Source organism: Homo sapiens, chromosome 10 (genome assembly GCF_000001405.40).
Source record: "Homo sapiens chromosome 10, GRCh38.p14 Primary Assembly".
Lineage (NCBI taxonomy): Eukaryota > Metazoa > Chordata > Mammalia > Primates > Hominidae > Homo > Homo sapiens.
This window is the reverse complement of record NC_000010.11, coordinates 92,590,460-92,613,161: the sequence shown is the minus strand read 5'-3', so window position 1 is coordinate 92,613,161 and position 22,702 is coordinate 92,590,460. Positions and strand designations below refer to the sequence as shown.

The following is a 22,702-nucleotide window of genomic DNA, read 5'->3' as shown; positions in this document are numbered from 1 at the left end:
GTGAAACAGTAGTATTAAGGTGGATGCTTACCAAGTTCAACTTTCCGATTTTAACAAGCTCTTCTCCATCAATCGTAGTTTCTTTCATATGTATTGTAACAGAGAAAACTGAGTGGGAACGACTAGAAAACAATATCAAGTTGCCCAGTCATTATAATGTAAAATAGCATTTGCTGCTTCTGAAATACTGAAAACAGGAAAGAAGATCTAAATCCACATGAGTAGAGAAAGATAACATCAGACAGGAGATATCAAGAATATTTTGGAAGATAGGAGATAGATAGAACAGTGATTAGGATTTTGTTTTCTCATATCTACTGCCTGCAAAAGAGGCATCAATAAGAAGCTCTCTAAAAGACTTAGAATCCTGAGGCACCTCTGAAAGCTGGATGTGGGTGGGGTCGAAACAGTTGCCTGGTATGTCAAGAAGAGATGGCTTGTAATCATCTTCTATTCATAAGAACCATTTGAAATATGTCATTACCATAAATTCAAATGGTACCAGGTAAGGCATTAGTTTACTCTTCCACCTTCCCATCCATGTCAGCTGTTGTGTACATGCACAAGTACACTTCTCTGCTTTGAGACTGTCATCAGAAATAGATGACTCCTATCCCCTAACAGCAGAAATAGTAAACAGCATGATTACTAAAACACTACAAGATAATCACTGCTAGATTATAAAATGTTCAAAAGTCTACCTTATGCTAAATACTGATATTCAGGCCAGGGGTGGTAGCTCATGCCTGTAATCCCAACACTTTGGGAGGCCAAGGTAGGAGGGTCACTTTAACTCAGGAGTTCGAAACCAGCCTGGGCAACATAGTGGGACCATCATCTCTACAAAAAAATTTAAAAATTAGCTGGGCGTGGTGGCACGCTCCTACAGTTCCAGCTACCCTGGAGGCTCAGGTGGGAGGATCACTTTAGCCCAGGAGGTCAAGGCTGCAGTAAGCCATGATTGAGTTACTGCACTCCAGCCTGGGTGACAAAGTGAGACGCTGTCTCAAAAAAAAAAATCACAAAAAAACAAACAAGCAAACAAAAAAACAAAAAACAAAACAAATACTGTGCTTTTTATCTTAGGGGGAAAAAAAATTATACAGATGACCAAAGACATTCTTTCTGTATCCAATGGCATTTGGTGAACATTATTATGTTTGTTAATATCACTGACAATTGACAGAGAATCTGGTAAGTTTCAATTTTCTTCTTTGTACTTTCATGTTACTTAAAAAAAAAATTAAGTATCTTTTTTAATTATTTATTTATTTGAGACTTATTGCCCAGGCTAGAGTGCAATGGCATGATCTCAGCTCACTGAAACTTCTGCCTCCTGGGTTCAAGCAGTTCTCCTGCCTCAGCCTACCGAGTATCTGGGATTACAGGCACACGCCACCACACCAAGCTAATTTTTGTATTTTTAGTAGAGACGGGGTTTCACCACGTTGGCCAGGCTGGTCTTGAACTCCGGACCTCAAGTGATCCACCCACCTTGGCCTCCGAAAGTGCTGGGATTACAAGCGTCAGCCATCGCGCCCAGCCAAGTATCATTTTTATAAAATTATTTAAATTATTTAAAATTACAGAAAAGGAGGAAGACCTAAGGAAAAACATAAATGTAAACTATAGATCTGAATTATAATATTCATCTCCACCGGGCATGGTGCCTCACGCCTGTAATCACTTTGGGAAGCCGAGGTGGACGGATCACGAGGTCAGGAGATCGAGACCAACCTGGCTAACACAGTGAAACCCCGTCTCTACTAAAAATACAAAAAATTAGCCAGGCGTGGTGGTGGGCACCTGTAGTCCCAGCTACTCAGGAGGCTGAGGCAGGAGAATGGCGTGAACCCGGGAGGCAGAGCTTGCAGTGAGCCGAGATCGCATCACTTCACTCCAGCCTGGGGGACAGAGAGAGGCTCTGTCTCAAAAATAATAATAATAATAATAATACTATTCATCTCATGTTTTTCTACCATTATCTACCCATTCCTAATCCAGATTAGGCAATTAATACAAATAAGCATTGAAGTTAGCTCTAATTTGGGAAAACTGAATTAATTAGCTTCTCCTCTTTGTCACATACCTTCATAAAAAGTGACCTTTATACAAGTCTACATACAAGAAAAAAGGAAAAATAGAAATTTTATACTTTAGTGAAATGTACCTAAAGAAATTTTACCTAGTCTTTAGTTCAGTTCTCAAAATTCTACATGAAATTAAGTTATAATCAACCACAGAATAAAATTTCCATTTTATTGGAAAGCCATTAAGTGAAAATTTAATTAAAATTTTGAAATCATCCAAAATTCCATGATCTTAATCACTTTTATGTTATATTTTTCTTCTTTCTTTAAATGCAAACTTTTTTAGAGTTGCAACTGTAATTGTTATGGCATTTTATAGAAATTTTCAACTACAAGCCAGAAAAGAAATAAGACTTCTAATCCTAACAATAATTTTGTAGCTCAGAGAAACTGATAAGCAGATAAATTCACTTATTTACAAAAAGTCACATACTGAATTAACCGCGAAACTGAGACTACACGCAAATATCTAATTGCAATCCATTGCTTTTTCTATTACATTCTGAGGTTTAAAGACCACACACACACACAAAAAAACCACTTCTGTTTTAGTAAACTATATCTGTAGAATTTGGAATTTGTCCTGTACGGGTCTTTACAAGAAAAAAGGAGTTTCTAACTTACGTAAATTTATGACAGGGATTTTATATCTCAATGAATAGAGTGGTAAGAGAGGAAAATAAACAATTTTTTAAAAAGGAATTTTATATTTCGGTAAAAGATATTTAGAGCGAAAAAAATCATCCCTTTCACCCCATGAAAGCCAGTGTTAGTGACCATCTGTCTCCCACACTAAAATAAAGCCATTTTAAAAGACCTAACTTCTAATCCTTATTCAATGCAAGGGTTTTCAAACTATATTCTAATATCAGTAGGGGGCTCCACAAAAGTGCCTCAGGGACCCCTTCATAAGGCTAAGGAGGTAAGCCTCAGAGCGTCCCATTCCAAAATCAACTATAGCAGCCACATTTTATCCTGGGCTTCCATATATCATGTTACTAGAATAAAAGGATTCTTCTACTTTAAAAAAGTTTAGGCCGGGCGCCGTGGCTCACACGTGTAATCTCAGCACTTTGGGAGGCCAAGGCAGGTGGTTCACCTGAGGTCAGGAGTTCGAGACCAGCCTGGCCAACATGGTGAAACCACATCTCTACCAAAAATACAAAAATTAGCTGGGCGTAGTGGCAGACACCTGTAATCCCAGCTACTCAAGAGGCTGAGGCAGGAGAATTGCTTCAACCCGGTGGGCAGAGGTTGCAGTGAGTCAAGATCGCGCCACTGCACTCCAGCCTGGGTAACAAGAGCGAAAATTCGTCTCAAAAAAGAAAAAAAAGTTTAATACTTCAGCTATGGTTCAACTTATCTTTGTTCTCCTTTCAACATTCTTCCAATATTGGTTCCTTCCATATAAATCTCAAGCCAATTACCAATGACCCCTCCTTATAACACAAACTCTAGGTACGTGACCCACATACCCTGACCCACCCCAATTTGACTTTCTCCAAGTTCCTAATTCTTCTTAAAAGAAAATGGGGCTAGGGAAGAGACTATGGCTTTCTTACCTAGAGTATGCATTCATCAGAGTAGCTGCAGTTGTCCTTTTTGCTGCCCCCTTTTCTAAAATTTGATAGACTTCATCCTTGTTGTGTACTGTAATTTCTTCTAAACCTTTAATTATCACTCCTCTCTGACCAAAATACCAAAAGAACATCCATTAGATTGGTTAAAACACACACACACACACACACACACACACACACACACACACTCTCTCTCTCTCTCTCTCTCTCTCTCTCTCTCTCTCTGACTTCTCAAAGCCTCACACATTAAAATTCAGAGACATTTCATTCTCAAAGACTGAATTACCTTGTTACGGGGATCATCAAACATCTGTAGTCTCTCAGAAACATCAGATGATGGATTAAGAAGATCAAAAAGCTCTTCATTATAGATCTCCAACAGAGACACTTTGACTGAAAATTCAGTACCATTATCAGTAAGTTTCTCAAAAATTTGATGAAGGGTACGTGGAATTATACCAGCCAAGGGATCCTGAAATTATAATAAGGACTAATATAAAGGAAGAATGCCATTTACTGTGGCAGTTAAAATACATGGGCCTCCTTTATAATATATTTAAACATAAGTATGGCAAAGCAAGTTAAAACAAAACAAAAAAAGAAACAACTAACCTAATGTTAGAGAAGTCATTTACAACAGTCTGTTCTACAGTAGTCTTCACACCCTCCATAAACCTGTCACACTTCTTAGCCATCTTCATCCCTGAGCATTACATAGAAACCAATGGAACCTATCTACTTAAAAAGCCAAGTTCGGCCAGGCACGGTGGCTCACGCCTATAATCCCAGCACTTTGGGAGGTCAAGGCAGGTGGATCACAAGGTCAGGAGATCAAGACCATCCCGGCCAACACGGTGAAACCCCATCTCTACTAAAAATACAAAAATTAGCCGGACTTGGTGGTATGTACCTGTAGTCCCAGCTACTCAGGAGGCTGAGGCAGGAGAATCACTTGAACCCGGGAGGTGGAGGTTGCAGTGAGCCAAGATCGAGCCACTGTACTCCAGCCTGGGCGACAGAGCGAGACTCCGTCTCAAAAAAAAAACGCCAAGTTCAATAATTCTGCCCAGCGAAACTATGCTTTAAGCCTATTCCATATCTCCTATGGTAACAATTTCATAACTTTATTATCTATATATGTAAAGTAAGTTAATGACTCAATTATGTAACCACTAGAAGAAAGGTTCTACCCAACTGTCAATAATTTGGAAAATTAGCTGGGCAAGGTAGTATGTGCCTCTAATCCCAGCTACTCAGGAGGCTGAAGTGGGAGGACTCCTGAAGCCCAAGAGTTCAAGACTGGCCTGGGGAACACAGTGGGACCCCATCACTTTAAAATTTAAAAAAAAAAAAAAAAATTAAAAAAAATTCTTTTTTTTTTTAAATTAACTAGTTTTTTGGTTTTTTGTTTTTTTGTTTTTTTTTGAGACAGAGTCTCGTTCTCAGGTAGCTGGGATTACACGTATGCACCACCACACCCAGCTAATTTTTGTATTTTTAGTAGAGACCGGGTTTCACCATGTTGGCCAGGCTGGTCTCGAACTGCTGACCTCAGGTGATCTGCCCGCCTCAGCCTCCCAAAGTGCTAGGATTACAGGCATGAGCCACCGTGCCCGACCAATTAACTAGTTATTAAACTCATTTAAATTTAAACACATTACTAAATTTAAAACTAAACTTTTTTTTAAAAGTTTTAACACTTCAGCTCTAGTTCAACTTGTCTTGGTCTTCTTTCAACTTTCTTCCAGTATTGGTTCTCTCTCTTAGTTATTAAACTCACTTAAATTCATGGAAATCTTTGTAAAACATAGTATATGCTTTCTGCAATATTAAACAATACATTCATCTTAATTTCTTGAACACTTAGGATCATCATGAATAAAGTACTATACTTCCCCTGGCCATGCTAACTTTCTGAGACCCATTCCTTCAATACAAAGCCCTCCCTGCCTTCAAGCTTCACTCATATTCCAACTTTTCTACAATATTCTGCTCCAACCATTCTGTCATAAATAGACTCCTCTTTTATCATATAACTGTGCCATATATATTGGTCCTTCCTCTTCCATTGAGGCTGTTTCTTAAACAGGAGTCATACCATGCACTTTAATTTTACTGTAGTAGTGGTTTATCCTAAGTTCATTTTGACATAGGTACTCTGATCTCTATTCCAAGACAGAGGCCCTCAAACAAGTTTTATACAGTTAAATTTCAGTCACATTAGAGATAAAAGTATGTTATAAACAATAAATACCTCTTCCCAGGTATACTCTTCATTAGGTGACCTTTCACCTTCCATTGTAAAAGTTTTTCCAGTGCCAGTTTGGCCATACCTGTAAAGATTAACAAGTGTTAAATCAAAAAGAAACATGCACCCATATGACTCTTAGTGATAGACTAGAAAAACAAAAAACAAGCCAGGCACAGTGGCTCAAGCCTATAATCCCAACACTTTGGGAGGCCGAGGTGGGCGGATCACCTGAGGTCCGGAGTTCGAGACCAGCCTGGCCAACACAGTGAAACCACGTCTCTACTAAAAATACAAAAATTAGCGGGCATGGTGGCAGGCAGCTGTAATCCCAGCTACTTGGGAGGCTGAAACAGGAGAATTGCTTGAACCCAGGAGGCAGAGGCTGCAGTGAGCCGAGATCGCGCCATTGCACTCCAGCCTGGGCAACAAGAGTGAAACTCCGTCTCAAAAAACAAACAAACAACAACAAAAAACACAAGCATTTAAGCTTTTTCATAAATCAGAAAAAACACCCTTTTACTTACGCAAAGATAGTGCAATTATAGCCCATAATAACTTCATCCAGAATTGGACAAACAACACTTCGGTAAACATCAATCTGTTTAGTAGATGCTCCAAACACCTAACGAAAAAAATTAAAAAAAAAAAAATCAACCTCAAAATTACTCATTTTAATAATTTTGTTTTTCGTATGTTAACTAATTCATAATTCAGCCCACTAGAAGCCATCTGACAATTCAGAGACAACTGAAATTTCTAAGTATACACCATTTTCCAGGTAAAATATGTATATTAAAATTATTTTACATTAGTGGATAATAAAGAAATTGCACCATATGTTACCATATCAAAAGTGTATGTTTTCCTTGAGCTCTTGTCAGCCAATCCTCCAGTTCGTACACTAACTTCTTTTCGTACAGGATCACATTCTACTATTGAATGGGCGCTAGCTTTCCGCTCTGCCAAATTAAATGGTCTATAAAAAGAAATACACAAAGTCATTCAAGAGCTCTTAGTTCTCAGGTTATCAATGACATTTTCACTAACTACATTTGTCAAGAAAAATGCGAAATTTTGACCACATTGTTGGTGATGGAGATTAAATCAGGACTAAGTGATATTGCTAAAGCAGACAGTAAAATTATAAGTGTCTCAAGTTTCACAAATATAATTTTTTAAATGTTCAAAGATATGTTAAGACATTACAATTCTGGCAGCTTCTTAGAGCAGATACGAATAGATTTGTTTTGTTTTGATGGTAGAGATGGGGTCTTGCTGTGTTGCACAGGCTGGTCTCAAACTTCCGGGCTCAAGTGATTATCCCACCTCAGCTTCCCAAGGTGCTAGTATTACAGAAGTGAGACACTGTGCCCAGCCACTAACAGGTTTTAACTTGTAAAAATGCCAAACTTATTTTTCAGAATTCCATTTCTCCTATTCTTAAAATCTGATCAAGGCTGGGCGCAGTGGCTCACGCCTGTAATCCCAGCACTTTGGGAGGCCGAGGCAGGCGGATCACCTGAGGTCGGGAGTTCGAGACCAGCCTGACCAACATGCAGAAACTCTGTCTCTATTAAAAATACAAAAGTAGCTGGGCATGGTGGTGCATGCCTGTAATCCCTGCTACTCGGGAGGCTGAGGCAGGAGAATTGCTTGAACCTGGGAGGTGGAGGTTGCGGTGAGCCAAGATCGCGCCATTGCACTCCAGCCTGGGCAACAAGAGCGAAACTCCGTCTCAAAAAAAAAAAAAAAAAAAAATCCGATCAAATTAGGTTATGATGTAGTAGAAAAAAACATGTCAAATTTGTGTTCAAAATACTAATCTGCCAGTAGATACCTGGCACAAAATAAAAAGTACATAAAAATAATGACTAATAAGTTGAGTACTTACTATGTGCCAGGTACTTATTGTTTCAAGTGCTTTGCATTGTGCTCACTCAGTTTGTCCACACAACACTGTGAGGTTGGTAATATTATTAGCCCCATTTTTAAATGAGTGAATAGACACAGAAGGTCTACACTGCCGACTGGATCAAGAGTCCTCATTCTACGGAAATGCCTGAGTAGGTATTTAGTTGAAATGATTATTTCCTCAGGAAGTCCTTTCTATCCTATGTGCCTCCCCCACCTGCTCCAACCAAGACCACATTAAATGTCTGCTATATATTCCTACAGCACCCTTTATACACCTTTTCTAAACATCACCTCTCTTATCTTTTTTTTTTAATGTGTTACCCACTAAACCTCAGATCACTACAGAAAGAAATACTGTCTAGTTTACTGTTTCCCCAGCAACAACTACCATGCTTAGCACACAGTAGGTTCTTAAATATCTGTTAAACTACATTGCCTAATAAATGTCATCCTAAGAGGAATTATGGGAAAACTAATATCACAGTCCACAGAGTAGCATCAATAAGACAATTATATACTCAATACATGTCTGGGCCAAAGGGAGAGACATAATCTTGACCTGAGTTCATTTTTCCCATTGAGTATCATATATTTTGGAGAAAGTGCCAAACAGGAAATTATTTCCCCCTTATCACTAGATAAACCAAGTTGCTACTTATTTAAGAAGGATACCTCAACTTCCCCTGGCACAGCCCACTCTAAGTATACTTCCAAGTGATCAGAAGACCAAATCTGTGATCCTAGGAAACTTAACTCCCAGGTAGTATCTGGTAATGCTTTCATTTGCCAACTATACTAAAACTTACACAATGCATATAACCAACATGAATGTACAGTATTATTAAAACTTCAACAAAACTAAGGTAGAACCAACTTATACTGAGGTAGGCCAAGAGCATCAAGTGGAGTGAATTGCTCTCATGTGGCTAAAGCTTTTCCAATTAGTCTATTATTTTTGGCATCCCCTAAACTAGTATCTTGCCTGGACGTATAAAATTAAGTTACCAAATGAATACCATTCACATTGTCAGGACTAAGTGATAGGAAATTCATACAGATCACACATTCCTCAAAGTTATCAAAATTCTCAGAGAAGCTTTAGGGACTATGTGTACTCTAAGAAAGAGTACTGCCAAGTCATTAGTTTCCTACCCAGACTTCTCTAACTTATTAGAAATTGCAAAGTTTCGGCTGCTCACACTAACAAATCCATCAATTTGTTGGCTTCACCATAGTTATATAAAAATTCAAACAATCAAAATGGTGAGGGAAGGGAGATTGAGGATTAAAAAAACCTAAGTCCTATCCTGTGGAGAAGTGCTAAATTAACTCATTCCACAAATATTCATCAAGTACTTACTATGTGATAGGTAATTTTCTAGACACTGGAGATACAGCAATGAACAATACAAAGTTAAAGGAAAGAAAAAAACACCAAAATCCTGTGCTCAGGGAGCTTTTAACTTAGTTGAAGGAAGAGATGACTATAAAATGAATAAATATATTAGATGCTGATAAATTAGAAATGAAAATAAAGCAGGCCAGGCACAGTGGCTCACGCCTGTAATCTCAGCACTTTGGGAAGCTGAGGTGGGTGAATCACTTGAGGTCAGGAGTTTGAGATCAGCCTGGCCAACATAGTAAAAACCCATCACTATTAAAAATACAAAAATTAGGCCAGGCACAGTGGCTCACACCTGTAATCCTAGCACTTTGGGAGGCCAAGGTGGGCAGATCACTTGAGGTCAGAAGTTCGAAACTAGCCCTGGCCAATATGGTGAAACCTCATCTCTACTAAAAATACAAAAATTAGCCAGAAATCACTTGAACCTGGGAGATGGAGGCTGCAGTGAGCCGAGACTGTGCCACTACACTCCAGCCTGGGTGAAAGAGTGAGACTCCATCTCAAAAAAAAAAAAATTAGCCAGGCATGGTGGCAGCCACCTACAGTCCCAGCTACTTGGGAGGCTGAAGTGGAGGTTGCGGTGAGCCAAGAATGCGCCACTGCACTCCAGGCCTGGGCAACAGAGCGAGACTCTGTCTCAAAAAAAAAAAAAAAAAAAGAAAAGAAAAGAAAGCAGTTTAAGGGGGATAGGAAGTGTTGAGGGTGGAAGATAGTTGGTTGCTATTTTAGGGTAGTTAGGGAATGCTTCTACGCAGGTGATATTTAAGCAGAACCTAAAAAGCAAGGGAGCCAGGCCCTGTAGATATTTTGGTGGAAAAAATTTTCAGGCAGAGAGAACAGAAATTGCAAAGATTCTGAAGTAAAAGCAGGTAGATGTATTTTTTAAATGTGTGTGTGAAATTAGCCAGGCGTGGTGGCAGGCGCCTGTAATCCCAGCTACTCTGGAGGCTGAGACAGGAGAATCGCTTGAACCGGGAGGCAGAGGTTGCAGTGAGCCGAGATCGCGCCATTGCACCCCAGCCTGGGCAACAAGAGCGAAACTCAGTCTCAAAACAAACAAAAAACCACACACACACACACACACACACACACACACGTGTGTGTGTGTGTGTGTTTAAGTAACCAGGGTTCAAAGACATCACAAGGAAAATTAGAAAATTTTAGAGATTAATGAAAATGAAAATACAACATACCAAAACTTACGGGACACAGCAAAAGCAGTGCTAAGGGGGAAATTTATAGCTATGAATGCTTACATTAAAAAGCAAGAAAGATCTCATATCAACACCCTAACTTTACAACTTAAGGAACTGGAAACAAAAGAACTAGTTATTTGTGTCTTCTCTCTTATTGTTGAAAGAGTATTTTCAACAATTGTATGCCAACAAATCGGATAACCCAGCTGAACAAATTCCTAGAAACACAATACTTACAAAGACTAAATCACAAAGAAATGGAAATTCTGAATGGAGCTATAACCAGTAAAGAGATGGACTCACTAACCAAAAATCTCCTGACAAAGAAAAGCCCTAGATCTGATAGTTTCATAGGTGAATTCTATAAAACATTTCAAGAAGATCTAATACCAGTTCTTCTCAATCTTTTCCCAGAAAAAATCTGGCAAAGGAGAGAACACTTCCCAACTCATTTTGTGAGGCAAGCATTACCCTGATACCAAAGCCAGACAAAGGCAACTACAAGAAAACTACAGATCACTATCCCTTATGAACACTGATAAAAAAAAATCCTCAACAAAATACCAACACATTGAACTGAGCAGCACAAGGATTATACACCATGACCAAGTGGGATTTATTCCTGGAATACAGGGATGGTCCAACATGTAAAAATTGATCAATGTAATATACCACATTAACAGAATGAAGGAAACCACAGAATCATGTCAATCGATGCAGGAAAAGCATGTGACAAAATTCAAAACCCATTAGTCATAAAAATGCTCAACAAACTAGGAATAGAGTGAAACTACCTCAACAAAATAAAAGCAACATATGAAAAACCCACAGCAAACATAATTGATGGTCAAAGACTGAAGAATGTTCCTCTAAAAACAAGAACAGGGCCAGCACAGTGGTTCATGCCTGTAATCACAGCACTATGGGAGGGTAAGAGTAGAGGATCACCCGAAGCCAGGAGTTCAGGATCAGCATGGGAAACATAGCGAGACCCCATCTCTAAAAAAAAAAAAAAAATTATTTTTTTAATTAGCTGGGTGTAGTAGTGTGTCTATAGTCCCAGCTACTCAGGAAACTGAGGCAGGAGGATCTCAAACAAACTAACAAATAAAAGAACAGGAGCAAGACAAGGATGCCCAATGCCCACTTTTGCCACTTCCATTCGACATAATACTGTAAGTTCTAGCTAGAGTAATTAGGCAAGAAAGAAAAACAAGGGCCGGGCATGGTGGCTCACGCCTGTAATCCCAGCACTTTGGAAGGCTGAGGCAGGCGGATCGCGAGGTCAGGAGATCGAGACCAGCCTGGCTAAAACGGCGAAACCCCGTCTCTACTAAAAATACGAGAAAAAAAAAAAATTAGCTGTTTATGGTGGCACATGCCTGTAGTACAAGCTACTCGGAAGGCTGAGGCAGGAGAATCGTTTGAACCCAGGAGGCGTAGGTTGCAGTGAGCAGAGATTGCACCACTGCATTCCAGCCTGGGCAACAGAGCGAGACTCCATCTCAAAAAAAAAAGGAAGAAAAATAAAAATAAAAGGCATCCAAATTGAAAAGGAAAAGGTTGAGGGCCAAGAGCGGTGGCTCATGCCTGTAATCCCAGCACTTTGGGAGGCCAAGGCGGATGGATCACGAGGTCAGGAGTTCAAGACCAGCCTAGCCAAGATGATGAACTCCCATCTCTACTAAAAATACAAAAATTAGCTGGGCGTGGTGGCATGTGCATGTAATCCCAGCTACTTGGGAGGCTGAGGCAGAGAACTGCTTGAACCCAGGAGGCAGAGGTAACAGTAAGCAGAGATGGCGCCACCGCGCTCCAGCCTGGGCGACAGAGCGAGACTCCATCTCAAAAAAAGAAAAAAAGAAAGAAAAGGAAAAAGTAAAATTATCTGTCTGCAGATTATATGATCTTTTATATAGAAAATCTGGCCGGGCGTGGTGGCTCACACCTATAATCCCAGTACTTCAGGAACCCCAAGGGGACTTGAGGTCAGGAGTTTGAGACCAGCCTTGCCAACATAGTGAAACCCTGTCTCTACTAAAACTACAAAAACTTAGCTAGGCATGGGCGCATGCCTGTAGTCCCAGCTACTCGGGAGGCTGAGGCAGGAGAATCGCTTGAACCCAGGAGGCAGAGGTTGCAATGAGCCAAGATTGTGCCACTGCACTCCAGCCTGGTGACAGAGCGAGAGTCTGTCTCAAAAGAAAAAAAAATAGAAAAGAAAGAAAACCCTAAAATTCAGTGGGGCAAAAGGAGCTAGAGCATCAAGAAGAATAGCTAGTGGATGCTGGGCTTAATAGCTAGGTGATGGGTTGATCTGTGCAGCAAACTGTGATGGCACAGGTTTACCTATGTGATAAACCTGCACATCATGCACATGTACCCCAGAACTTAAAAGTTGATGAAAAAAATAATAAAAATAAGGCCAAGTGCAGTGGCTCACGCCTGTAATCCCAACACTTTGGGAGGCCGAAGCGGGCGGATCACGAGGTCAGGAGTTCAAGACCAGCCTGACCAACATGATGAAACCCTATCTCTACTAAAAATACAAAAATTGGCCGGGCATGGTGGCGAGCGCCTATAATCCCAGCTACTCCGGAGGCTGAGGCACAGAATTGCTTGAACCCGGGAGGCGGAGGTTGCAGTGAGCCGAGATCACACCACTGCACTCCCGCCTGGGCAACAGACCGAGATTTCATCTCAAAAAATAATAAATAAATAAATAATAATAATAATAATAAACAGAAGTTCAATAGTTAATTAAAAAAAAAAAAAAGCCAGGCACAGTGGCTCACGGCTGTAATCCCAGAACTTTGGGAGGCTGAGGCAGGTGGATCACGAGGTCAAGAGATCGAGACCATCCTGGCCAACATGGTGAAACCCCGTCTCTACTAAAAATACAAAAATTAGCTGGGCGTCGTAGCGTGTGCCTGTAGTCCCAGCTACTCGGGAGGCTGAGGCAGGAGAATTGCTTGAACCTGGGAGGTAGAGGTTGCAGTGAGCCGAGATCGCGCCACTGCACTCCAGCCTGGCAACAAAGCGAGACTCCATCTCAAAAAAAAAAAAAGAAAAGAAAACTCTAAAATTACACACACACAAAAAAAAACTGTTAGAACTAATAAGTGAATTCAGCAAAGTAGCTGGATAGAAAGTCAACAAGCAAAATCCAGCGACGTTTCTTTTTTCTTTTTTTTTTTTTTTGAGACAGAGTCTCACTCTGTTGCCCAGGCTGGAGTACAGTGGCACGATCTTGGCTCACCACAACCTCCACCTTCCAGGTTCAAGCGATTCTCCTGCCTCAGCCTCCTAAGTAGCTGGGACTACAGGCACGCGCCACGATGCATGGCTAATTTTTGTATTTTTAGTAGAGACAGGGTTTCACTATGTTGGCCAGGCTGGCCTTGAACTCCTGATCTCGTGATCAGGAGTTGGGAGGCCCACCTTGCCTCCCAAAGTGCTGGGATAACAGGTGAGAGCCACTGCGTCCAGCCTCCAGTTACATTTTTATACACTAAGAATGAACAATCTAAAAAGGAAATTACAAAAACAACTCAATTTAAAATAGCACCAAAAAGAATAAAATATTAGTAATTAATTTAACCAAGGAGGTGAAAGACTTATAAAATGAAAACTATAAAACACTGCTGAGGCCAGGCGCAGTGGCTCACGCCTATAATCCCAGCACTTTGGGAGGCCAAGGTGGGTGGATCACCTGAGGTCAAGAGTTCGTGACCAGCCTGACCAACATGGTGAAACTTTGTCTCTAGTAAAAATACAAAAATTAGCTGGTCGTGGTGCCACATACCTGTAATCCCAGCTACTCAGGAGGCTGAGGCAGGAGAATCACTTGAACTCGGGAGGTGGAGGTTGCAATGAGCTAAGATTGTGCCACTGCACTCCAGCCTGGACAACAAGAGCGAAACTCCATCTCAAAACAAAAACAAACAAAAAAAAACTGCTGGCAGAAATTAAGGGGCATAAATAAATGGAAACACATCCCTTGTTCATGAACTGAAAGACTTAATATTGTTAAGATGCCAATACTACCCAAAGTGATCTATAGATTCAATGTAATCCCTATTAAAATCCCAATGACGTGTTTTACAAAAATAGAAAAATTCATCCTCAAATTCATATGGAATCCCAAGGGAGTCCAGATAGCCAAAACAATCTTGAAAAAGAACAAAGCTGGAGGACTCACACTTCCTGATTTCAAAACTTACTACAAAGCTGCAATAATCAAAACCATGTGGTACTGACATAAAGACAGACTTATAGACCAATGGAACATAACAGCACTTAGAAATAAGCCCTCTTACATATGAGCAAATGATTTTTAATAAGGTTGCCAAGACCATTCAATCAGAAAAAGACAAGCTTTTCACCAAATGGTGCTGGGAAACTAAATATCCATATGCAAAAGAATGAGGTTGGACCCTTATCTAACACAATATACAAATATTAACTCAAAATGGATCAAAAATGTATGTAAGACCTAAAGCTATAAAACTCTTAGAAGAAAACATAAGGCAAAAGCTTCACAACAATGGATTTGGCAATGATTTCTTGGATATAACACCAAAGATACAGGGAACAAAAACAAAAAGACAAACTGGACTTCATAAAAATTTAAAATGTTTGTGTATCAAAAGACAGCATCCCTGTGATCCCAGCTACCTGGAAGGCTGAGGTAGGAGGACTATTTGAGTCCAGGAGTTCACAACAAGTCTGGGCAATAAAGCAAGATACTATATTTAAAGGGGAGAAAAAAAAAATAGCCCAGGCACGGGCTCACGCCTGTAATCCCAGTACTTTGGGAGGCCAGGGTGGACGGATCACCTGAGATCAGGAGATCAAGACCAGCCTGACCAACATGGTGAAACCCCATCTCTACTAAAAATACAAAATTAGCCAGGCGTGGTGGCGCATGCCTGTAATCCCAGCTACTCTAGAGGCTGAGGCAGGAAAATGGCTTGAACCCAGGAGGCGGAGGTTGCAGTAAGCCAAGATCGTACCAATGCACTCCAGCCTAGGCAACGAGAGCAAAATTCCGTCTCAAAAAACAAACAAACAAACAAACAAACAAACCCAAGGGAAAAAAAAAGACTTTATCTTCCTTTTCTCCATCATAGTGCAAGATCAAGGTAAAAAAAAGAGAACTCTGGCCAGATGAGGGCTCACACTCATAATCCCAGCACTTTGGGAGGCCAAAATGGGTGGATCACTTGAGGCCAGTAGTTCAAGACCAGCCTGGCCAACAAGGCGAAACCCCATCTCTACTAAAAATACAAAAAATTAGCCAGGCATGGTGGTGCACACCTGTAATCCCAGATACTTGGGAGGCTGAAGCATAAGAATTGCTTGAACCTGACAGGCAGAGGTTACAGTGAGCCGAGACTGTGCCACTGCACTCCAGCCTGGGTGACAGAACGATTTTCTGTCTCAACATCTGTATGGAGGAGACTGGAGATGACTGACCCCAGCAGCCAAGGTGTTGGAGCAGCTCATAGGCCAGACCCCTGTGTTCTCCAAAGTCAAATACATTGTCAGATCCTTTGGCATCAGGAGAAGTGAAGATTGCCACCCACTGCACAAAGGGCCAAAGCAGAAGAAACCCTGAAGAAAGGTCTAAAGATGCAGGAGTGTGAATCAAGAAAGAACAACTTCTCAGATACTGGAAACTTTGGTTTGGAGATCCAGGAACACACAGATTTGGGTATCAAATGTGACCCATGCATTGGTATCTACAGCCTGGACTTCTGTATGGTGCTGGGTAGGCCTGGTTTCAGCACTGCAGACACATAGCACAGAACAGGCTGCACTGGGGCCAAACACAGAATCAACAAAGAGGCCATGCACTGGTTCCAAAAAGAAAAAGAAAGGAAAAGACCACACGGTATCAATGAGTAAAAAGGCAAACCACAGTAATGGGGAAAAAATTTTTGCCGTTTATGTATCTGAAAATATCCAAAATATATAGAAAATTCCTAAAACTCAACAACAAAAAAGCAAACCAATTTAAAAATGGGCAAAGGACTTAAACAGACATTTCTCCAAAGATACACAAAATGGCCAGTAAACACATGAAAAGATGCTCAACATCATTAATCATTAGGGAAATACAAATCAAAACTACAATGAGATAGCACCTCACACCCAATGGATGGCTACTTGAAAAAAAAAAAAGAAACAGAAAATAAACGTTGGTGAGGATGTGGAGAAATTGGAACCCTTATGCACTGTTGGTAGGAATGTAAAATGGTCCAGCCACTGTGGAAAATAGTTTGTCGGTTCCTCAAAAACTTTAAAATAGAATTATCATATGATCCAGCAATTACAATTCTGGGTAAATACCCAAAAGAATTGAAAACCCATATTCATAGCAACATTATTCATAATAGCTAAAAGTAAGAAGTAACTCAAGGCCGGGCTCCGTAGCTCACGCCTGTAATCCCGGCTCTTAGGGAGGCCAAGGCGGGCAGATCACAAGGTCAGGAGATGGAGACCATCCTGGCTAATATGGTGAAACCCCGTCTCTACTAAAAATACAAAAAATTAGCCGGGAGAGATGGCAGGCGCCTGTAGTCCCAGCTCCTTGGGAGGCTGAGGCAGGAGAATGGCGTGAACCCGGGAGATGGAGCTTGCAGTGTGAGCCAAGACCGCGCCACTGCACTCCAGCCTGGGCAACAGAGCGAGACTCGGTCTCAAAAACAACAACAACAAAAAAAGAAGTAACTCAAGTATCCATTGACATATGAAGGGACAAGCAAAATGTGGTATATACATATAATAAATACTATGCAGCCTTAAAAAGGAAGAAAACCCTGACATTTGCTACAACATGGTCCAACCTGGAGGACATTATGCCTAAGTGGAATGAGCAAGTCACAAAAGGATAAATACTGTATTATGACTCCACTTTATGAAGTACTTAGAGTAGTCAAAATCATAAGACAGTCGAATGGTAGGTGTCGGGTTGATGGGAGAGGGAAATGGGGAGTTATTGTTTAATGTGTATAGAGTTTCAGTTTTTCATGATGAAAAGAGTTATGGAGATGGATGGTAGTAATTGTTGCAGAATATTATGTATTTAATATCACTGAACTGTACACTTAAAAGTGGTTAAGATGTTAAATTTTATATTATGTGTGTTTGAAAATGACTTTTTAAATTGGGAAAAAAATAGGGGATGGAATAGGAGGGACATAAGAAAGAGAACCAGTAGCGCATTATGTAGGGATCTGTAAACTTTAACCTGTGGGTCAAACCTGGCCCCTGCCCTGACAGATTTAAGAATGATTTTTACAGTTTTAAAGTGTTCTTAAAAAAAAAAAGATCAGAAAATAATGTGACAGAAACCACATGTAAAGGGGTACAGTAGCTCACGCCTATAATCCCAGCACTTTGGGAGGCCAAGGTGGGTGGATTCTCTGAGGTCAGGAGTTCGAGACCAGCCTGGCCAACATGGTGAAACCCCATCTCTACTAAAAATACAAAAATTAGCCAGGCATGGCGGTGTGCGCCTGTAATCCCAGCTACCTGAGAGGCTGAAGTGGGAAAATTGCTTGAATCCGGGAGGCGGAGGTTGCAGTGAGCTGAGATTGCACCACTGCACTACGGCCTAAGAGAGCGAGACTCCGTCTCAAAAAAAACTGATAAACCACATGTGATCTGCAAAGCCTAAAGTATTTAAATAAAATAAATATTTATTTCTCTGGGCCCTTTACAGAAAAGGCTTACCAACCCCTGAGGACCTCGCAACTCATAAGTTGCCTATTTACTAAAGCTTAATGCTTAATGACAGACGCACCAGGAAGGCTATTTGAAAGAAAAAGGCTAATCTGAAAAAAAAAATCTCTTTACACAAAAATTATTGTAAATATTAGACACAAGCAAAGAACTATTCTATTCATTGGTGATAAAGTAAATCTCTTCTAAGACTTGAAATGTATACGGATCATAAACATCAAGTTCAAGATAATGGTTAACAGTGGCTGGAGGAAAAGGGATGGAGAGGGAAAAGGGGGGCTCCAGCAATGATTGTTTTGTTTCTTAATCTGGGTGATGAATATACAAATGTTTATTACATTGTTCTTAATAACTTTTTGTAAGTCTGAAATATTTTGTAACTAACATTAAAAAAGAAATTAAATAAATGCATACGGAAAAGGTAATATTGCCTGGTTTTATTAAACAACCAAAATAATTTTAAAATTTGCACTTGTTATATGCACTGCATTTTTAAATAAAAATCTTCAAACAACTAACTACTAACAGAAGCCCCAGAGTACAACAACTAGTAAGTGTCACTGGCTAGACTTAAGATTGCCACCCAATTTCCTCTCTGACACCTTGTTTAGAAACCTAGTCATCACCTTCGATATCCACAATTCAAGTTACCAGGGCTGAGTAAACAATAGCCTAAGAAAGTTTGTTGATACAAGTTTTTCTAAAAAATAACCTTTTAATTTTAGAATACTTTGGGGTTTACAGAAAAGTTGCAACAGCAACTGTTAACAGCCACAAAAACGGACACACAAAACACACATACTCAGTAAACTGTGGAGAGCCTCTAAAAAGTTGAATAAATCAATTCTAACTAAGCAGCAGTTTCTAGCTTATTTTAAAATTGGGAAGTTATTTGGAAACCAGTCAGGGGAGGGCCGAACACCCCTCCACATCCCTTTATCTCGAAATATCCGTTTAGTTTGGTCTATGAACAAACACGCAGATGAAAGGGAAAACTGCAGCACAATCAGAAATTTACACTAGCTTAACTTGTCTTGATCTTTTAAAAAACATAAACTCACTTTATTAATTTTTAATGTTTAAAGACAGAGATGTTTACTTGTTTAGTAGGGATGCAGAAAATATTGCATCTAGAATAAAGAGAACAGTGATTGATTGCTTTTTAGAGGTAATAATACCAACGTAAGTGCTTAACCATCTGCAAAATAGGTATTCAGTCTTACTTCCAAACTGACAAACTACATGAAGTAGCATATAAAAGTGACACCTACATCTTTATTGACTATAGTTTAAACATAAGAACGCACTTTTCAGTATGGAACAGTGATCAAATCAAACATGTTATTTTCTCCTAAAAACCACATACACACAGCAACCGGGTGTCATTTTTATTGAACAGAACGCGGAGAACCAAGAAACTGGGACCCTCAGGAAATGCAAATAAAATCCCTCTCCCTGGACCGCGCAGTAGGGGGCCCAGCAGCGAAGCCGCAGCGCTCGGAATCCTGTCAGCCCTCTCCCTACCTGCATCTCACCACCACCTGGATGTTCTTCCCCTTCTCCTCTTTCTTCTTCGCAGACGAATTTGGCTGCGACGCCATGACGGTCCCCGCCAAAAAATCAAGGCCCGGCCGCGGACCTGGGCGCTGTGAGGGGCGGAGGGGCTTGGCGGCCGACAGGGGCCGGAGTCTCCCTGGTCCCTCTCGGGCGCTGGCGTGGCCTGGAGGACCGACGCACGCAGGTCGGCGTCCCCGCTCTCTACCCGGTACTCTGGCCGTGGCGTTTGTCCCGCGCCAGTCGGAGCCGCCAAATCACTAATCTCGTCTCCGCCCGAATCCCCAGAAACTAAGCAACGACTCGGCGCCTCAATTTGAAAAAGAGACAGAGTAGCCGGACCAATGGCTGCGCTGGCGCGCAAGGCACCATGGGATGCAGTATCCTCACTGGAGCCCCGCCCCCGGAGCGTGGCCTACGGGAACGTAAAGAGGTGGTCTGTCTGCTTGCTCCGGAACTTGGTAGTCCAGAGCCGAGACGCTAGAATTGAGTGTGGAACTTTTAGCGTAGCGTGGCTCAACTTACATAACGTCCCTAGCCCAAAATTCCCTCAGCTGCAGAGAGGAAATAATAGTAACCATCTCAGAGGGTTAGGGTGAGAATTAATGAGCTTGTGGAAGTAAATAGATTGGAATATATGGTAAGCACTCGCCATGATTATAATTATTAGAGAATTGTAAGAGAGGGCAGTAGAAGCACAGAAGAGAGGTCCAAAGCGAGCCGCCATCCCGGAGGCAGAGACCAGAATAGTCTTTGTGTGTGTGTGTGTGTGTGTGTGTGTGTGAGAGACGGAGTCTTGCTCTTGTCACCCAGGCTGGAGTGCAGTGGCGCGATCTCGGCTCATTGCAACCTCCGCCTCGCAGGTTCAAGCGATTCTGCTGCTTCAGCCCCCGAGTAGCTGGGATTACAGGTGCGTGCCACCACGCCCGGCTAATATTTGTATTTTCAGTAGAGATGTGGTTTCACCATGTTGGCCAGGCTGGTCTCGAACTCCTGACCTCAGATGATCCACCCGCCTCGGCCTCCCAAAGTGCTGGGATTACAGGCGTGAGCCACCGCGCCCGGTCCAGAATAGGCTTGAAGAATAATTAATGTTGGGGCCCGGTGGCTCAGGCCTGTAATCCCAACACTTTAACGGGCCGAGGTAGGACGATAACTTAAGTTCCAGGAGTTTGAGACCAGTCTGGGCGACATAGGGAGACCCCCCTCCCCGCGCCTCCCAACGGGTCTCAACAAAAAATAGAGGGGAAAAAATAGCCTGGTGTGGTGATGCGTGCCTTTTGGTCCCATCTACTCGGGATGCTGAGGAAGAAGGATCGCTGAACACGGGAGATAGAGGCTGCAGTGAGCCGGGATTATGTCGCTGGATTACTCCAGCATAGGCGACAGAGCAATGCCCTTTCTCAAAAAGAAAATAATAATAATAATAATTAGGAAGTGTTAAGCGATAAGGCTACTACAGGTTCCAAATCGTGATGAAATGGACACTGGACGCCATTTGGAGGACTCTGAATTTATCCTTTAGTCATCATCTCTAAGTGACTCCAGGCAAGAAAGCAGGGTCCGCCTCGATTTTAGAACGACTGCACTGACCGAGTGACGCAGGCCGCGGGTGCGCTGCGCTCCCCGTTTCTGCGCGGCGCAGCGGGCGGTGGCATCTCAAGGAAGCTGCGCAAACATCCGCCGCCCCGGCCTACGGATCCCAGCATGCAGCGCTCGCTGGGGCCTGCGCGCCGTCGGTCACCTCCGGCCTGCTGCGGGAGAACTTTTCGGCGTCTTGGCAGTGCCTGGCGTGACTCGACCGCTGTAGGTGTGGTACGCCGCACCAGGAAATACTGAAACAGGAGCCTATTGTTATGAATAACTTTTAAAATCTTAAGGAAATTGAACACTTGAACAAAGGATTTTTAGCAAAGCAATTTTATTTTTGCGCAGAGGGGTGCCTTTTTGGCCAGTCGCCTTGAGAGCACACCTGAACAAAGGGGCAGGAGTCTATTTTTGACGCAAGTCCTGCCCCTGTATCTTTTTCCCATTGGCTGGGGTCGGGTCGTATAATCTAAACTAATCCCGGTTGGCTAAACATTTGATTTTTTTTAGCTAAGGTGGGTACTTAAAAGAAAGCGGACAGGAAAGGGGAAGGGGTGTCTGTAATGAGCTAAAAAGTTAGTCCCTTCAAATAAGGAAAGGAATGTGAGCTGGTATTGATAAGGCCTAGTATTGTGGCGTGCCTGGGCATTTAACAAAAGCAAAAAAGGAGAAAAAGAGAAAAAAGGGAGGGTACTATGAATTAAAGAATAAAAGATTGATCGGGTTATTTGAAGAGAAACATCATATCCCACACTATGTTGTAGTCGGTTCCTGGAACTGCGCTTCTGGCCCACACAACCCATGGGAACCTAAATGTCGTGTTAGTCTATTAAGTAACAACCCGGTGTAGTGGAAAGCTCTGATGTCCTTTTTGTGTTCCTCCACTTGCTAATCCCCTACATGCGCCCCCCCGCACAACCCGCCCCAAGGAAATAACTGCATCTACAGCTCCTTCTGCTGGTCATCTCTATTTTGAGTAGCCAGCTGTCTATTGATATCTCCTCTTAGGTGGCTCGCTGGCATTTCAAAATGGGACCTATCTCCACCCTAATCTTTTCTCATCTGGATACTGGTGCTAACCAGAACCTTTGATTCCTCCACGTGTAGTGGAGTCCTGTTGATTTTATCTCCCCTCCGATGATCACCCTAGTACAAGGCTCTTATCTCTTCCCTGAACAAATGTCATCTACCTCCTTAACAAGTTTCTCTTCTGCCCTTTTCTCCTACCCCCAACTCCTCCACTACATTTACTCAGCAAGGGAAGTGTCTTTTAAGAAATAAGAAAATAAGATTATGCTCTTCATCTGCTTTTTAATCTTACATTACCTTCTCATTTGTATTTGGAATTAAATCCAAACTCATTACCATGCTCTGTA

At 41.7% G+C, this 22,702-nt stretch overlaps 1 protein-coding gene and 1 pseudogene across 1 annotated transcript in view, besides 7 other annotated features; one reads left to right on the top strand and one right to left on the bottom strand.

Moving 5' to 3' along the window:
• The window catches only part of KIF11 (kinesin family member 11), a 62,266-nt gene extending 42,234 nt beyond the window's left edge, over positions 1-20,032 (bottom strand). Inside the window, exons 1-7 of the mRNA NM_004523.4 lie at positions 19,710-20,032; positions 6,765-6,897; positions 6,446-6,543; positions 5,925-6,003; positions 3,957-4,142; positions 3,653-3,777; positions 32-122 (exon numbers count right to left, since the gene is read on the bottom strand). Of these exons, the coding sequence (NP_004514.2) occupies positions 32-122; positions 3,653-3,777; positions 3,957-4,142; positions 5,925-6,003; positions 6,446-6,543; positions 6,765-6,897; positions 19,710-19,786 (789 nt within the window). The 5' untranslated portion in view covers positions 19,787-20,032. The remainder of the gene's footprint in view (positions 1-31; positions 123-3,652; positions 3,778-3,956; positions 4,143-5,924; positions 6,004-6,445; positions 6,544-6,764; positions 6,898-19,709) is intronic.
• Positions 15,197-15,712: an enhancer, noted in NCBI's record as "H3K27ac-H3K4me1 hESC enhancer chr10:94357207-94357722 (GRCh37/hg19 assembly coordinates)". NCBI's record gives its function as "activates a minimal SCP1, AML or CMV promoter by ChIP-STARR-seq in primed H9 embryonic stem cells {active_cell/tissue: H9 hESC(primed)}" and the evidence as "EXISTENCE:reporter gene assay evidence [ECO:0000049][PMID:30033119]".
• RPL11P4 (ribosomal protein L11 pseudogene 4) lies at positions 15,873-16,303 on the top strand (annotated as a pseudogene).
• Positions 19,295-20,046: an enhancer, noted in NCBI's record as "NANOG-H3K27ac-H3K4me1 hESC enhancer chr10:94352873-94353624 (GRCh37/hg19 assembly coordinates)". NCBI's record gives its function as "activates a minimal SCP1, AML or CMV promoter by ChIP-STARR-seq in naive H9 embryonic stem cells {active_cell/tissue: H9 hESC(naive)}" and the evidence as "EXISTENCE:reporter gene assay evidence [ECO:0000049][PMID:30033119]".
• Positions 19,628-19,697: a silencer, noted in NCBI's record as "silent region_2619". NCBI's record gives its function as "represses an Ori minimal core promoter by ATAC-STARR-seq in GM12878 lymphoblastoid cells {active_cell/tissue: GM12878}" and the evidence as "EXISTENCE:reporter gene assay evidence [ECO:0000049][PMID:35858748]".
• Positions 19,778-19,827: a silencer, noted in NCBI's record as "silent region_2618". NCBI's record gives its function as "represses an Ori minimal core promoter by ATAC-STARR-seq in GM12878 lymphoblastoid cells {active_cell/tissue: GM12878}" and the evidence as "EXISTENCE:reporter gene assay evidence [ECO:0000049][PMID:35858748]".
• Positions 20,148-20,197: an enhancer, noted in NCBI's record as "active region_3774". NCBI's record gives its function as "activates an Ori minimal core promoter by ATAC-STARR-seq in GM12878 lymphoblastoid cells {active_cell/tissue: GM12878}" and the evidence as "EXISTENCE:reporter gene assay evidence [ECO:0000049][PMID:35858748]".
• Positions 20,228-20,417: an enhancer, noted in NCBI's record as "active region_3773". NCBI's record gives its function as "activates an Ori minimal core promoter by ATAC-STARR-seq in GM12878 lymphoblastoid cells {active_cell/tissue: GM12878}" and the evidence as "EXISTENCE:reporter gene assay evidence [ECO:0000049][PMID:35858748]".
• Positions 21,228-21,317: an enhancer, noted in NCBI's record as "active region_3772". NCBI's record gives its function as "activates an Ori minimal core promoter by ATAC-STARR-seq in GM12878 lymphoblastoid cells {active_cell/tissue: GM12878}" and the evidence as "EXISTENCE:reporter gene assay evidence [ECO:0000049][PMID:35858748]".